At 39.9% G+C, this 17464-nt stretch overlaps 1 protein-coding gene across 1 annotated transcript in view; it reads left to right on the top strand.

The window, feature by feature from the left end:
• The window catches only part of GLI3 (GLI family zinc finger 3), a 303320-nt gene continuing 286648 nt past the window's right edge, over positions 793-17464 (top strand). The window contains exon 1 of the mRNA XM_047420208.1: positions 793-1067. The gene's annotated coding sequence lies outside the window, so the exon portion shown is untranslated. The remainder of the gene's footprint in view (positions 1068-17464) is intronic.

Raw genomic sequence — 17464 nt, 5'->3', positions numbered from 1 at the left:
AGTCAAGTTCCCCAGATTTTATTAATAATTAAACTCAGAAGTCCTGAAATCCAAAATGGTTGAGGGAAATGGTCCTTTCCTAACTGAAATAAAAATGAAAACTACTTACCCCTTTCTTACATTGTCTTTCTCTTTCGATTCCCCCTTCACCCACCTTTCTCACTCTCCTCCTGCACTCACTCGCACACCCTCTCTCTCTCCACCCTAGACCCTAGTGGCCAATTTCCCTAGTTAAGTTATTTTTCTTTCCTTTATCTGAGTAAAATTTGTTGCATTGAAATTTATTTTTATGACACTTCAAATTACGTGGAAGAAAACTACCAGGTAGCCACATGGTTACGGTATGTCTCATTACACTGTGTGCTACTGCAAGACAGAGAACATATCTAACACACAGTAGGAGCGTAATAAAGATCTTCTTAATAAAGAAATGCTTGGATGAAATAATTCGAGGGTGAGAGGCTGTTAACGCCCATAAATGCACAAAACTTAGTACTGCAGAATTTGCTGTTTGAAGGGCTGTCGGGTTTTTTTGTTTATGTGTTCTTACTGGCATATGTGAGTGAAAATGAGAAAAAATACAGGTCATCAGAGAATCCGGTGATTTAGAATTTTAGAGAGAATGAGAAAGCTAATATTAGAAAGCTAATAGAAAGCTAATAGGACGTCCCACCTGCAGCAAGAAACAAAGAACAAGCCTCCAATGACTGTCCTTTCTCAGGAGCCAGCAGGCACTCCTAGATGCCTTCCTTTCTTTGCCAAAAGAACTCTGATTGTATTGGTGTATCAGGTGTCAGTGTTCTCAGGGTTTGAGCCCTAACTGGCATTCATGGTAACTCCAGTGCCCTCTGCCAAGAGGTGGGTGTCATGTGGCCCACGCCTGGCCAATGGACATACTGGGAAGTCTCCTGATAGGCTTCTGAGACAAGGCCCTTCGTGCTTTTGGACATTTTTGGGTAGGGAAGTGCTGCTGGATGCCTGGACAGCCCATCTCATGACCATGACGAGACAGCCAACACAATCAGAGTGAAGCGATCCCAGCAGCCTCACATTGCTGAGCTGCCAGAGTAAGTGATTTTAGAATTTTTTATCTCCAGATTTCTAGGTAGGTAAGTTAGCAATAACCTCTGCAAATCATTTTATTCAGCTATTCTGTTTTGTTGTGGTCGTTGCTGTTTTTGTTGTTGTTGTTGTATGTTTCATAGCAGAAAAATATCCTGATATATGGGACAAAAAAGACTGATCTAACCCCACCAGACACTTGCAGCCTCTGCAGCATACAGCTAGGGGAATTTCAAAAGGCATCAAGATCTGGTGGGGTGCGGTGGCTCACGCCTGTAATCCCAGCACTTTGGGAGACCAAGGCAGGCAGATCACTTTAAGTCAGGAGTAAGAGACCAGTCAGGCCAACATGGTGAAACCCCATCTGTACTAAAAATACAAAAAATTAGCAGGGCATGGTGGCACGCTCCTGTAATCCTAGCTACTCCAGAGGCTGGGGCAGGAGAATTGCTTGAACATGTGAGGAGGAGGTTGCAGTGAACAGAGATCACACCACTGCACTCCAGCCTGGGAAACAGAGTGAGACCCCCTTTTCAAAAAAAAAAAATAAATAAAATAAGGTAAGAAGATGTTTATGAGTTCTTGAAAAATCAAAAGGTGCAAGAATGTACACATTGACCCACAGTGTCTTTCAACCCTTCCACCTAAGAAGCATCACAGCTCTCCCTTTTAGTTAACATAGGCACATAAACTTGTCACTGGCAAGGGGGAGGCACTTTCTTGTTATGGTAATGGACATGAAAGTGCCAGTAACTCCCTTTGAGCTCTTGTCATAGCCAGGAAAGAGCCTTTGCTTCTCTCATTTTGTATCTATAGTAAGCACTCAGAAGGCGTACACGAGACCAGCTATGCTGGATCTGCTGTTCTCAAGTTGCCAGGAAAGAGATGCCTTTGCCGTGGGTCACCATGGCGATGGCACGTGGCCCATCTGGCATGTATGCCTCGGATAATTACAGGCCCAGGGACCTGAAGAACACTCCTTAGTCTAGTTCCATAGCTCTCGCCAAAGACCATATCCTGTGGTATTAATCATTAAAAAAAAAAAAAGTGCAGATATTCTGGTTTGCCTTGCAAGGCACTGCTCTGTCTGGGGAGAAACACTGGGTTCTATCTTCTGCCAGTCAGTAGGAAATGCAGAGAAAATGGAATCCCTCTTAGGTATAAAGATAAATAAAATGTATGTAGCATGAATAATTTAAAAAGTAATGTTAGGAAAGTATCTTCAAAATTCTTAGGAATGGATAAAACAACAAAAAGGTATTTGGGCTGATAAATAAGGACCATTTCCAAAGTGTGAGTTTCTTTAAATTAATTCTTTAAAATGTTGCACTGTCATTATTTATAGAGCCATAAAGTAACTCTTAAACATGCTGAACCAGTGAGAGAGTCTGCCCCAGAAATTCTGAATTCACTTAGTGACTAGTTAGAAAACAAAGACTGGTCAAATGCAGTGACTCAGGCCTGTAATCCCAGTACTTTGGGAGGCCGGGGCAGGAGGATGGCTTGAGCCCAGGAGTTTGAGACAAGCCTGGGCAACATGGTTATACCCTATCTCTACAAAATTTAAAAAAATTAGCTGGCTGTGGTGGCATGTACCTGTGTTCCCAGCTACTTGGGAGCCTGAGGTGGGAGGACCGCTTGAGCCTAGGAGGTTGAGACTGCAGTGACCCATGTTTACACCTCTGCACTCCAGCCTGGATGACAGAGTGAGACCCTATGAAAGAAAGAAGGAAGGGAGGGAGGGAGGAAGAAAGGAAGGAAGGAAGGAAGGAAAGAAGGAAGGAAGGAAAGAAGGAAGGAAAAAAAATAAAAGAAAGAAAAAAGAAAGAGGCTGAAAAAAAAGAGCCTAGGAGGTTGAGCCTGCAGTGAACCGTGTTTGCACCTCTGCGCTCCAGCCTGGCTGAGAGAGTGAGAAAAAGAAAGAAAGAGAGAGAGAGGGAGGAAAGAAAAAAGAAAGAAAGAAAGAAAGAGAGAGAGAGAGGAAGGAAAGAAAGAAAAGAAAGAAAGAAAGAAAGAAAGAGAGAGCGAGAGAGAGAGGAAGAAAAAGGAAAGAAAAGAAAAGAAGAAAGAAAAGGAAGAAGGAAGGAAGGGAGGGAAAGGAAGGGAAGGGAAAGGAAGGGAAGGGAAAGGAAGGGAAGGAAAGAAAACAAAGACTGTTCCTTATGATGCCAGGGTCAACCCAGACTTCAACTCACTTTTCAATTCACTTAAATCTCTATCTTTAAAGAATACTTTATCAAAGCCAATCCTCTTTGCAGGGCACCTATAATCAGGCACTGCCTCATCCTGCAGTCTATGGCTTGCTGAATAGTAAGACCTAGTATAACTACTACACAAACTAATGTACTGAGTATATTAGTAAGGCCTAATATAATTATTACATTCATATAAAATATATAGTCTGACTTATGAAATCTTTCCTTGTTTACTTCTTGTGTAACTCCCCCAACTAAGTTTCATGAGAATGGGACTCTGGTTTGTCATTCCTGAATCTAGAACCCTGGCTTTGCATACAGTGAACGGTTAGTGGATAGCTGAGGATGGATGGATGGATGGATGAGGAGTGATCTGGTTTGGATATTTGAGCCTGCCCAGCTCTCATGTTGAAATGTAATCCCCATGCTGGAGGTGAGGCCTAGTGAGAGGTATTTGATCTATGGGGGTGGGTCCCTCATGGTTTGGTGATGTCTTAACAATAGTGAGTTCTCATGAGATCTGATCATTTACAATGTGTGGCACCTCCCCGCACCCCATAATCTCTCTCTGTGTGTGTGTTGTGTGTGTGTGTGTGTGTGTGTTTGTGTGTGTGTCTTGTTCCTGCTGTCACCATGTGACATGCCTGCTCCACCTTTGCCTTCTGCCATGATTGTCAGCTTCCTGATGCCTCCCAGAAGCCGAGCTGATGCCAGCACCATTCTTCCTGCAAAGCCTGCAGAACTGTAGGCCAATTAAACTTCTTTTCTTTATGAATTACCCAGTCTTAGGTATTTCTTTATAGCAATGCAAGAATGGACTAACACAGAGAGTATGCTCTAGCCATGCTGCACACCTTGTAGTTGCCTGAACGTATGGATTGTGAATATATAAATAGCACCACCAACTACCCAGTTTCTCAAGCCAAAAACCAGGAGTCATCCTTTATTTCACTCTTTCCCTCTCACTCTGCCCCCTCTCTATCAGGAAAATTGAGATTGCTGTCTCTACATGCAAAATGTACTCAAAATTCATTCTTTTGTTGCCATGTTCACTTCATTTCACTCAGATGCAAGCCAACATCACCTTTCATTGAGATACATCTTCTTGCCCTTCTTGTTTTTACTCTTGTCCCTGGCCCTTCATTCACTACGTTGTAGTTAAACTTTTAAACATGTAAATCAGACATACCACTTGTTTTGTTAATTATATAATAAAGAAAATGAACATTCTCACACCTTGCTCATCAAAATTCTATTGACAAGAGGTAATTGTTTAGTTTAGATTCTTGCTAACTTGTCCTATTTCTGCATAGGTATATACTTATACACACACATAGTATACATACATACTCTTTTAAAAATATAATACCTTTCATATGTGTTATGGTCATCTTACCAGAGAAGTATAACAGCTATTCAATATTTTGACAGTTGAATGCGTAAAATAATAAATGGACTCTTACATTGCTTCTATTTAAATACAGTACAACACGTGTAAGGAGCAGTGGGAATTCCAACAGATCTGTGAACATTCATGGACTTGATTCTGTTAGGGAGATTATTTGTAGAAATTGTCAAATGGTACGTAGATGTTCATTATATATGTCATTTCTCACCCTGCAGAAATTATCATATGCTCTAGAGATGCTCTAGCCAGTGTGATTTGCTACAAAATTGAATTCTATAATTTCTTTACTCCCTTCCAAGTATCTACAATGATCTTCCTGACAAATATTTTCTTTGGGGATACAGGCATTTTGAGTCAGCATTTTCTCATGGTAAATTTCCTAGTTGTTTTGTACATACACAGAACCAAACTACAGTCCTGAAAGGCTGCAACAGCAGATGCATACAATGCTATGCATACCACAGACAAAGCTGCTTTGCCTTAATACACAACAATGCAATGAGTAGAAGATAGATGCCCACAGGTTTATTTTTAAAAATTAAATTTTGTTAGCTGGATCCAAGCAATTTTGAGTCAAAAGCAAAGGGGAAGGCACTATATATGCTATTGATTTGGATCCTAAATGTCTTCTTTTGGTGGGTAATGCTAATTGTCAGAGATTACTGACTGCAGGAAAATGCAAGGTCATCTGCGTTTATCAAAAAAGACATGATCTCAAACCTTCACTACTTGCACGAGGGGTCACAAATAATTTTCTATCATGCAGAAATCCCTACAAGTGTAGACTGAATGCTAATATCATGTTCAGCAATAATAATAACAAAACAATACATTGTGAACTTACTATGTGTCAGGCACTGTACTAGTGCTTTATGTAAGTTATATTATTCAATCTTAACAGCAAAAGAATAAATTATAATTGTTGTCATTTTTGTTTTACAGATTAAGAAACTGACTTAGAGCTAGAGCTTAACTAGGAACAGCTACATTCTTAAGCACTTCTCTATAAAATGCCACTTAAAACAGAGTTCTAAGCCCTAAAGATAATGCTACCATTTACTGATGAAGAAAAGCAACCCATTAGATGTTTATATTTGTTGCATGTCAGAGTATGGTTGACAGGCTCATGAACTGCCTTCTTTATTTTACTTCACAGACACAAAAATGGTAGCATTTGTTTATAAGAATAATGTAGCAATGGTCAAAGCTCAGATTGAGTTGAATATTTGAAAGCATGCTAAAAACAACGAAACCGTTCCTTAGCTAAGCTTGGAACTAGATGATGAACAAGTTTAGGGTAATTTGACTGCTTGGACAATCTGTAATGTTAACAGGTGACCAAGGTGGTGGAGGTCTGCCATGGAGCCCATCAGCTCAGAGATAGAGCACATAAAAGAGTAAACAACAAACTAGTTCAGACAATTTCAACTGCAGTCTGAAAAATGAAACAGACAGAAAAAAGAAAACCCAAGCACATTTTCTGTGTGCCAATCAGGAAAGATAATGCTATGGGCCAAAAGTTTGTGTCCCCCCAAAATTCATATGTTGAAATCCTAATCCCCAGGATATGATTTGAGAAGTAGTGCCTTTGTTGGGTGATTAGGTCAGGAGGGCAGAGATCTCGTGAATGGGATTCAAGCCCTTATAAAACAAGCCCAAGGGTCCTCCCTCACCCATTCTGTCATGTGAGGTTACAGTGAAAAGATGGCCATTCATCAATCAAGAAGTCATTGTGGCACCTTGCTCTTGGACTTCTCAGCCTCCAGAGCTGGAGAAATAAATTTCTATTCTGTATAAGCCACTTAGGCTATGCTATTTTGTTATTGTAGCCCAAATGGAAGAAGAGAGTTATGGTGACATCTTAATCATGTATAGGAAAACCAAGAAGGCATTTTAACACAATTTGAAGAGAATACAGTAACTCATGGAGGGCAACAGATTCTGGATTCAAAATCACCTTCAGAGTATGAAATGAAGAGCCAATACAAAGATTAGACAGATGTATCTCTACACTCCTTCATTAACATTTATCAACAACAAAAAAGACAAAATCCTACTTGATTACAGTATATTGACCAGAGCTAAATAAGAGCAAAGTGTGCTAAAAATGTTGGTCATACAGGTGACAATATTTGTTTCATGTTCAAATCAAAATATAAAATAATGGTGCCCTGGATATCCTGTTTTTATGAATTCAGTATGTATAATACACAGAAGTGTACAAGACAGAAAACATCTGTGACCTCATGGAGCTTGCAGTCTAGTTGGAGAGACGCACATTAATCACATTATGATTGGGTTATACATAGTATATATAGCAGGTGTGTGTATAAAATCCAGCGTGTAAAGAATTACAGAGTGCCATAGACAAGGACATCACGAGAAAAGAAAACTATATAGTTCAATATTCCTCATGAACATAGAAAACTCTTTAACAAAGTTCAACAAACCAAATCCAGCAACATACAAAAAGAATTCTACACCATGACCAAGTGGCTTTTATCTCAGAAATACAAGGTTTGCTTAATATACAAAAAGCAATGGATATAATATACCATAGTAATGGACTAAATGATAAAAACAATAATTATCTTAATAGATGTAGAAAAAGCATTTGACAAACTCAGTATCCATTCATGATTTTTTTTTTAAAAAACAATCAGCAAACTAAGAATAGATTTATAGATTCTGATAAAGGGAATCTGTGAAATATCCACATCTAACAGCATTTTTAACAGTAAAAGACTGAATGGGACGTGCACGGTGGCTCATGCCTGTAATCCCAGCACTTTGGGAGCCCGAGGTGGGAGGATCACGAGGTCAGGAGATGGAGACCATCCTGGCTAATACGGTGAAACCCCATCTCTACTAAAAATACAAGAAATTAGCCACGTGTGGTGGCGGGCACCTGTAGTCCCAGCTACTCGGGAGGCTGAGGCAGGAGAATGGCATGAACCCGGGAGGCGGAGCTTGCAGTGAGCCACTGCACTCCAGCCTGGGCGACAGAGCGAGACTCCGTCTCAAAAAAAAAAAAAAAAAAAGACTGAATGATTTCCACCTAATATCAGGGGCCTGCTTTTGCTGCTGTCATTCAACATTGCACCAGAGAGCCAGTGCAATAGGGAAGAAAAAAAAAGAAAGAAAAAGAAAAAAAATTTAGTGGTATCTAGATTGGAGAAGTAAAACTCTCTTAGTTGCAAATGACATAATTTTGTATGTAGAAAATCCTAAAACCACTAGAACTAATTAACTATTTTAGCAAGGTTCAAGATACAAGATCAATATATCAAAATCAATGGTATTTCTACTTACTAGCAAAGAAAAATCTTAAAATAAAGTTTAAAAAATTGAATTCAAAATAGCATCAAAAAGAATAAAAATTTAGGGCTAGGTTTAACAAGTAATATGCAAGACATGTGAAATAAAATCTACAAAACACTGCAAAGAAAAATTAAAGGAGATCTAAATAAATGGAGAGAAATTCCATATTCATGGACTGGAAGACTCAAAAATAATATAACAGCTTTTGGAAATTGATATTTAAATTGAAGATAACCCTTATCAAAATTTCCATTGGCATTTCTGTAGACATTAGCAAACTGATTATAAAATTTATATGAAAAACAAAAGATCTAGGGTAGCCAAAACAATTTTGGGGGAAAAAGCAAATTTGGAAGCCTCATACTACAAAATTTCAAAACTTACTCTAAAGCCACAGTAAGAAATACAGTATGATATTAATGCAGGATAGGCATATGGATGAATGGAATACACTTGATAGTCCAGAAATATATCCTTGTGTTTATAGTGAACCTGTGCTCAACAAAGATGCAAAGACAACTAGAAAGGAAAAGGATAGTCTTTTCAACGATTGGTACAGCAGTCTTTGGATATCCACATACAGAATGATAAACTCAGACCCTCATCTCACATCATATGCAGAAATTAACTCAAAATTGATTATAAACTTAAATCTAAGAGCTAAAAATATAGAACTTCTGGAAAAAGTGAAGGGAGAAATTTTCAATATCTTGGGATGGGTGAAGAATTATTAGGTAAGAAACCAACACATGATCCATTAAAAAAAAAAGCTGATAAATTGGACTTCATCAACATTAAAAACTTTTGTGCTTCAACTGATAAAAAAGACAAGGCAAACTGGGAGACAATATTTGCAAATCATATATCTTATAAATTACTTGTGTCTGGAATATGTAAAGAACTCTTACAACACAATAAGATTAAAAAACATTAAAAATAGGCAGAATATTTTAAAAGAAATTTCACTAAGAAGATATGAAAATGGCTAATGAACACATAAAAAGATGCTCAAAGTCATTACTCACAGGGAAACAAAAGTTAAAGCCACAATGGGATACCGCTACACACTGACTAGAATAACTATAAACAAAAAGTGAACACCAAGTGTGGGTGAGAATATGGAAAAACTGGAACCGTTATGTATTGCCAGTCATAATGCAGAATGGTATGGCCACTTTGGAAAACAGTTCATCAGTTTCTTAAAAAGTGAAACATAACTCACCATACAACCCTGCAATTTTACTACTAGGAAACTATCCAAAAGAAATTAAGACATATGTCCACACAAAGCCACTTATATGACTGTCCATCGAAGCATTATTCATCATCACCAAAAACTGAAAACAAGCCAAATGCCTATCAATTGATGAGTAGGTAAACAAAATGTAGGGCATCTATACAATGGAATGCTCTTCAGCAATGAAGACGAATAAATACGCTACACATAAATGCACCACAAAACCATTATTTAAGTAAATAAAGCCAGATGTAAAAGACTATGTATTATATGATTCTGTGTATATGAAATGTCCCTAAAAGGCAAACTTGGATAGAAAGCATATTAGCAATCCTTAAGACTGAAGGCAGGAGCAGGAATTGATGCACGCAGACATGAGGGATTTTTCTTTTAGGTAATGGAAACTGTCTAAAATGGGATTGTAATGATGGCTGTACAACTATAAATCTACTAAACATTATTAAATTGTATACCTACAATGGATAAATTTCATGGAATGCAAATTATACTTTAATAAAGCTGTTTAAAACAATGATAAGGCTGGCAGTGCTATGAGAGAGTGTAACAGGATGACCAAATTAGATGGAGAGGGTCAGGAAAATCATTTTTAAGGAAAATACATTTATTTTTTTATCTGAAAGAAGACCATAATTTTGTAGTGTAGCATTAACAATAGGGTGAAGGGAAGATAGAAAGTGGGGAAGAAAAAAATAGCGTTCCAAACTAAAAGAATCCTATGCACAAAGATGCAAAAAAAAAAACAGAAACAGAAAAAAAAAGATGTAAGAGAGAGATAAATAGGCAGAGAGAAACACAAAGAGCAGATGGAAAAGTGGAAGGGGCAGTGGGCAGGTAGCAAGAGATGAGTATGAACCCAGGATCTAGGTTTCATTACAGGAAAAATTTTGAATTTTATTTTAAGAGCAATGAGAAATTATTGAATTATATCTGGCATTTAGAAAAATCACTCACTACAGGTCAAAGATCAGCCAACTTTTTTTTTAAAGAGACAGATAACAAACATTGCAAGAGAGAGATTGATAGGCAGAGAGAAACACAGAGAACAGACCGAAAAGTGGAAGAGGCAGTGGGCAGGTAGCATGAGATGGGTTTGAACCCAGGATCTAGGTTTCATTACAGAAAAAAATTTGGATTTTATTTTGAGAGCAATGAGAAATTATTGAATTATATCTGGCATTTAGAAAAATCACTCACTACAGATCAAGGATCAGCCAACTTTTTTGTAAAGAGCCAGATAACAAACATTTCAGGCTATGTAGGCCATATAATGTTCTGACTAAAGTCACTGATGACAACTATTGCTCAATCCATGACACATTTAAATGCTCTCCCACTTGCTCTCTCAGCAGCATTCAACCCAGTCGGCCAGTCAACCCTTTTGAAATACTCTCTTTTCCTCACTCTTGTGTCATCATATTGGCCAACCTATAAAGATAGGATTTTCTTCTATATTTTTGGCCACTCTTTCGCTATGGCCTCCTTCACCTGCATTCCGCCCACATGCTGGGCTTCAGGCTGTGAACTAGGTCATCTTGGTTTTCACCCTACATTCGTGCCCAAGGCGATATCCTCTATTCCATTGGCTTTTTTTTTTTTTTTAACGGAGTTTTGCTCTTGTTGCCCAGGCTGGAGTGCAGTGGCACAATCTCGGCTCACTGCAACCTCCACCTCCCAGGTTCAGGTGATTCTCTTGCCTCAACCTCCTGAGTAGTTGGGATTACAGGCATGCACCACCATGCCCAGCTAATTTTGTATTTTTAGCAAAGATAGGGTTTCACCATGTTGGTCAGGCCTGTCTTGAACTCCCGACCTCATGTGATCCACCTGCCTCGGCCTCCCAGAGCGCTGGGATTACAGGCGTGAACCATCATGTCCGGCCCATTGCTTTTAAATAACAACTACATTTCAGTGACTCGCCTTTGCCTTAAGAAAATCCCAAAAAAAGACTTGGAGGGTAAAGATCTCAACAATTAAACCTGTATCAAAATTCAGTCACTAAGTGATGCTCAACTCAAGGATCTTAGCGTAACAATCATGGCCCACATTTATTGAGTACTGAGGACAAGTCAAAAGCACTTCATGTGTAAAGTCAACTAATGTAAACAAAGGCCTAGGACCTTACAGATGAGAAAGCTGGGAAATAGAAATTTTAATTAACTTACCCAAAAGACACAGAGTGGGAAGAGGAGAAACTGGGATTCAAACCTAAGCAGTCTGGCTCCAGAGACTTCATGCTTAAGAACTATTTAATTCAGAAGTTCCCAATTGGTGAGCCATGAATGAGTCACAGATATGCCATCAGAAATTGATTCGTTCAGCCCTGGGGCAGCCAAGCTGGTAGCCTCAGGCTGGGAGCAGCCTTGTGCAGGGCTTCTCAAAGGGTGGCACAGCAGGTCTAAGGGTGTATCCCCATCCCAGGAGGAGGAATGGGGAGCCCCAACTAATGCCTGCTGCTCTGCTGCAGATGCGCTGAGCACACCAGGCTTGGATGTCTCCCCGAGCAGCAGCCATGGAGCAAGCCACTGTGCACTGTGAACAAGGTGCTTCTGGAGATGCTGGTGAAGTTCATATTCCAGGTGCACCAGGGGCACAGTGAGCCTCCCAAGATGCTGATGGTTGTGGGGCAGGAAACTCTTTCTTCACATAATTGAATACATCTGTCTGGTTGTGGATGACATGTCCTTTTAGTCGTGGCTCAGCTAGCTACAAGGCGTCTGCCCTAAAATTGCACGTGGTTTCTGCTAATGCAAGCTCCACCATTATCTTGAAATTATTTAAGACTATGATTGCTTTGGAAATCCTTTCTCGTTTCCACCTTTGTCAATGAAAGAAAAAGAGCTTTTAGACATTTTAATAATTTCAACTTTTGTACCATTTTGAATGGTTGCAAAATAAAACATTTTAAATGTTTTATTACCTGTCTCTCTGGTTGAAATTTCTCATTGATGGTGACTATCAAGACTTTTAAAAGATGGACATTAAAAACTCTTAATTGGAAGTTCCCTGTAACCATTTGAAGCCTAAAATCTGTTATATAAAAGTTATGTTTGTGGAAGCAAGCTCAAGTGTTTCACCAAAAATGTTAAAAAGATATCATTTAGAACTTTCATATACATTTTATATTAGTATCTTCTTTAATACTTTTACTTTTCTTGAAATAATTATATAATATAAAGAAAACGTAGCTTTCTCAGCAAGCATCATAGAGGTGACTCAAATTCTATCCAGCTTGCTCCAATAATCACTTTTTGTGTGTATAATAGTGAGAATAGTATTGAGGAGTCCCTCTGTGCACTATATGTTAAGTGTGTTCATTTCTTTTTAACTTTTATTTTAGGTTCAGGGGTACATGTGCAGGTTTGTTATTTATAAAGGTAAACGTGTGTCATGGGGTTTGGTGTACAGATTATTTCATCACCCAGGTACTAAGCCTAGTATTTTTTCTGATCCTCCTCCTCCTCCCGCCCAACACCCTCAAGTAGGTCCCAGTGTCTGTTGTTCCCCTCTATGTGTTCATTGGTTCTCACTGTTTAGCTCCCACTTATGAGTGAGAACATACGGTATTTGGTTTGCTGTTCCTGCATTAGTTTGCTAAGAATAATGGCCTCCAGCTCCATCCATGTTCTCACAAGACGTGATCTCATTCTTTTTTATGGCTGCATAGTATTCAGTAGTGTATATGTACCACGTTTTCTTTACCCAGTCTATCCTTGATGGGCATTTAGATTGATTCCATATCTTTGCTATTGTGAATAGTGCTGCAGTGTGCATTTGTCTTTATGGTAGAATGATTTATATTCCTTTGGGTATATACCCAGTAATCGGATTGCAAATGGTAGTTCCGTTTTCAGTTCTTTGAGGAATTGTCAGAGTGTGTTCATTTTTTGATGCAACTGTTTCATGAGTGTGGTTCCACTCGATCACACTAGATAACTTGCCATTACTTCTGAACACGCCATATTCTCCTGCTGTTTTCTCTGTGTAGTGGTTAAGAGTGGAGGCTCTGGAGCCAGAATGCCTGATTTGAATTCTAGTTTTGCCAATTATTGGCTGTGTAACACTGAGCAGGTAACCTCACCTCTCTGTTCCATCATGTAAAAGGGGATCATCATAGTAACCACGTCATAATTGAGGCCATACACATAAACATCCAGGAATGATGCCTGGCATGTAGTAGGAACCCCCAAATGCCAGCTCTTCTCTCCCTCTCCCTCTTTCTTCTCTCTCTGCTCTCCTTATCCTTCCCTTAGCCTAGTGTGTGTCATTTCCTCTGACTGTTATTTCTTTCCCTATCAAGCACAGACTAGACTAGAGCAGGGGGGTCCCCAGCCACTCCCCCAACTCCCCCTACTCCAGCTGCACAGCAGGAGGTGAGCGGCAAGCGAGCATTAGAGCATCGCCGCCTAAGCTCTGCCTCCTGTCAGATCAGCAGCAGCATTAGATTCTCACCAGAGCAAGAACCCTATTGGGAACTGTGTTTGCAAGGGATCTAGGTTGTGTGCTGCTTGTGAGAATCTAATGCCTGATGATCTGAGGTAGAAAGTTTCATCCCAAAACCATCCCTCCCATACCACTCCCCAACCTGTGGAAAAATTGTCTTCCAAGAAACCAGTCCCTGGTGCAGAAAAGGTTGGGGGCGGCTGGACCAGAGGCCCTCTTAGGAGTTCCTAAGGCCCAGTGTTGCCCCAGGACAGTACTTAACAAGGGCATGGTCACTTTTGTTTTCTTGTGTGTTGCCTGCCCCTTCTTCATTAGCATAAGCTTTCTGGGAACAGAAATTATGGTTCCATCAACTCATGAATCCCCAGCTCCCCACCATGCTTTTTCATACTTCCTGACTAGTACATGGGCGGATGCCTAAATTGAGGGGCCCCAGTCTGTCCCCTGTTTCTGTAGCAATGACTGAGGAAGACAGGAAGAAGGTAGGCAACTTTTCTAATGTGTATTTAGAGGTCTGATTACAGAGGTAAATGTCCGTGATATGTTCCTATTCTTTCGCCCTTTCCCAACTCCCCGCTGGCCTTTATGTGAAGGAAAATGGCAGCCCCCCCACCCGCCTTTTCCTCCATACAAATCCACCCAGCTGCCCTTTTGGCACTTCCTGTCCCTCTCTTTAGAGTTGTTGGTGACTCAGAGTAAGGTTAGAGCACTTTGGTGTTAGCCATGCACCAGGCTGTGCATTGGTGGAAATTTCCCAAGGCTCCAGCAATGAGGGGAGAATTGGTCATGGGGGACATGGCTCTGGCTGGTTGGAGGTCAGTTGGATTGGGCCCTGAGTCAAGGCCTGAGAAATGGCAACAAGTGCTGGGCCACACATCTCAGCTTGGTGATGACTCCCTGTGACAGCTGTGGAAGGCTCTGGATTCTGACTCAGTCAGCAAACTGAAGTCCATCTACCTGGAAGCAAGATGAGTTGGTCAAAGTTCTCTTCTTCTTGCCTTAGTTAATCACCCAAGTCCTCATATCTGTTGCTTCCTACATTTGGACTCCTAAAGATGTGAGGTTTCTTGTTTGTGGTTTGTTGGTATGGTTTTTTTCTTTTAAGGAGTGAAAATAGCAAAGGGAAAACAAATGGTCCATATTACAAAGAAAATTGATTTTCCAACCATCACAACCCAAGTCTTGGGTAAGCCTTCACATACTTCAGTGCTACAGTGGGTAACTTGGAAAGGGAAAAAGGAAAGAGATAAGAAGAAAAGAGAGTAACTTTTTTTTTGTTGTTGAGACAGAGTCTTGCTCTGTCACCCAGGATGAAGTGCAGTGGTGTGATCTTGGCTCACTGCAGCCTTGACCTCCTGGATTCAAGCAATCCTCCCACCTCAGGCTCCAGAGTAGCTGGGACTACAGGTATGCAACACCATGCCTGGCTAATTTTTGTATTTTTTGTAGAGTTGGGGTTTCATCATGTTGCCCAGGGTGATCTCAAACTCCTGGCGTCAAGTGATTCGCCCAACTCAGCCTCCCAAAGTGCTGGGATTACAGGTGTGAGCCACCGTGCCTGGCCAGTAACTTTTTTTAAAAGCAAAAAGTGTGTGTGTGTGTGTTTGTGCATGTACATGTGTATATGTACTTGTATGAGGGTTAGGAAAGGAAAAGGGAGGGAAGAGAACTAACATTTAAAGATCTGTTAGTCTCAGGGTCTATACTGGGCCCTCTATGACTAAGTGTTAGCTCAGTCGGTCTCACAAGCACCCTATGAAATAGATAGCATCACCTGCATTTACAGGTGGACAAATGAAGATAGAAAAGTTAAGTCACAACCTCAAGGCATAAACAAATTTTGAAACTAAATCTTTCTGGGTTGAACCTCTCACCCCTTTTCTTCCCACTAAGACAGGTTAACAAATCCACAGACTAAATATGGCCTTCCACCTGTTTTTGTAAGGTGACAAGCTTAGGATGATTTCTATATTTTTTAATGGTTGAGGGGAAAAAATCAGATAAGGAATAACATTTTGTGACACATAAAAATTATGAAAACTATATGAAATTCAAATTGTAGTGTCCATCGGTAGAGATTACAGGAACACAGCCCCTCCCATTCTTTCGTGTATGCTCTATGACTGCTTTTGTGATACAATGGCAGAGCGCAATAGTTCATGTGGATACTGTATGGCCTGAAAAGTTGTGGTCTTTTACATAAAAAGTTTGTAAAAGACTCCTGTACTAACGGAATGTTTTTGAGAGTCTGTGATTGCTTAGAAAAGTTTATTAAGAAGGAGAAAAGGGAATTTTTTTGTCCCTTAAAATACTCTCCTAAATTTCGATAAGGCCAGGCGCAGTGGCTCATGCCTGTAATCAATCCCAGCCACTTTGGGAGGCTGAGGTGAATGGGTCTCTTGAGCCCAGGACTTGGAGACCAGCCTAGCCAACATGGTGAAAATCCATCTCTACTAAAAATACAAAAACGGAGGTGAGAGGACCACCTGAGCCTAGGGAGGTTGAGGCTGCAGTGAGCTGTGACCACACCACTGCACTCCAGCCTGGGTGACAGAGGGAGACCCTATCTCAAAAAAAATAAATGAATAAAAATAATAAATAAAAAAATAAAAGAGGATAAGAGAATTATTAAATGATCTCAAATTAATATTTTATTATAATAGAAATATTAACATGTGGTCACATGATGGTGAAATAATTTTTCCATCTACTATATGCATATCCTCACCCTTTTCTTATCAGCATGTACCTGTTTAACTTGTGGGGGACTGCCAAGGAAGAACTCAGCAGAGGGGAAAGATGGAGCCACAGCCCTTTCCTGGCTCTACTGTTAAGTAAATTAAGCAAATCACTTAATCGTCTTTGATTTAAATTTTCTTATCTCCAAATTGTGGACTGGACAAGATAATCCCCAAGGTCCCTGGTAGTAATAAAATGATAGGCCTCTGTGATTTAGAACATAATTTTAAAATGTTAAGTGATCACTGAGGTTTATAGCAGTTATGGCTTTGCATTTATGGTAGATCGGTGGCCATATTTATGATTTATTTTAGTCCAGATTCTTAGTCAGTATCTCCACTCCTGATTATGGCACTGTCCCTATAGGAAAATATGAGCAACTTTATGATGATTTGCTTCTCAAGAAGGTTTCTAGGGATGCATTGAGGGAAAAACTGTATAAACTTTTATAGTTCTCTGGTTTATCACCAATTTGAGATATGGGGGTCTTTAGGAAAGGACTCGAAGGTATGCTGCTATTTTATATTTTTAGTTAAAAAGTACTTGTAATTGATAATAGGAATATTGAATCCCTTTTCCAGAGTGTTCCATCTATTGACATACCGATCCAAATACTGAAACAAACACTCATTGTATTTCTTCATGGTACATATTTCTATCAGAGATCCTTGTCTATTCTGTCTAATGGATCAGATAGGAAAGCTCAAAAGCAGCATTGTTATTCTACCTAGGACGAGCTCATTTTATTCTGCATTGCCACTGTGTTGCTCACGCAGTTCAGATGGAGTTGGAGTGACTGTAGAATAGTTTGCAAAGAGAAACTCCTTGTACAAGGAGCCAGAGCTAGGGCTCCTGACCAGATGCTACATCTACCTTCCCTGAAGAAAGAGCTGAGCAGCAGGAATGGGTGGAAGCATAGTGCAGTAGAAGGGTACTGCAGCTTCTGCCCATGGCAGGGTCAGTGGTTTCTAATTCCCTCCTAACACTTGGGCTTTCAAGTCAACCAGTCATAGAATGAAGTACTGGACCATGCACCACAAA

Source organism: Homo sapiens, chromosome 7, assembly GCF_000001405.40.
Source record: "Homo sapiens chromosome 7, GRCh38.p14 Primary Assembly".
Classification (NCBI taxonomy): domain Eukaryota; kingdom Metazoa; phylum Chordata; class Mammalia; order Primates; family Hominidae; genus Homo; species Homo sapiens.
Note: the sequence above shows the minus strand (reverse complement) of the source record. Positions and strands in the feature narration are given on the sequence as shown.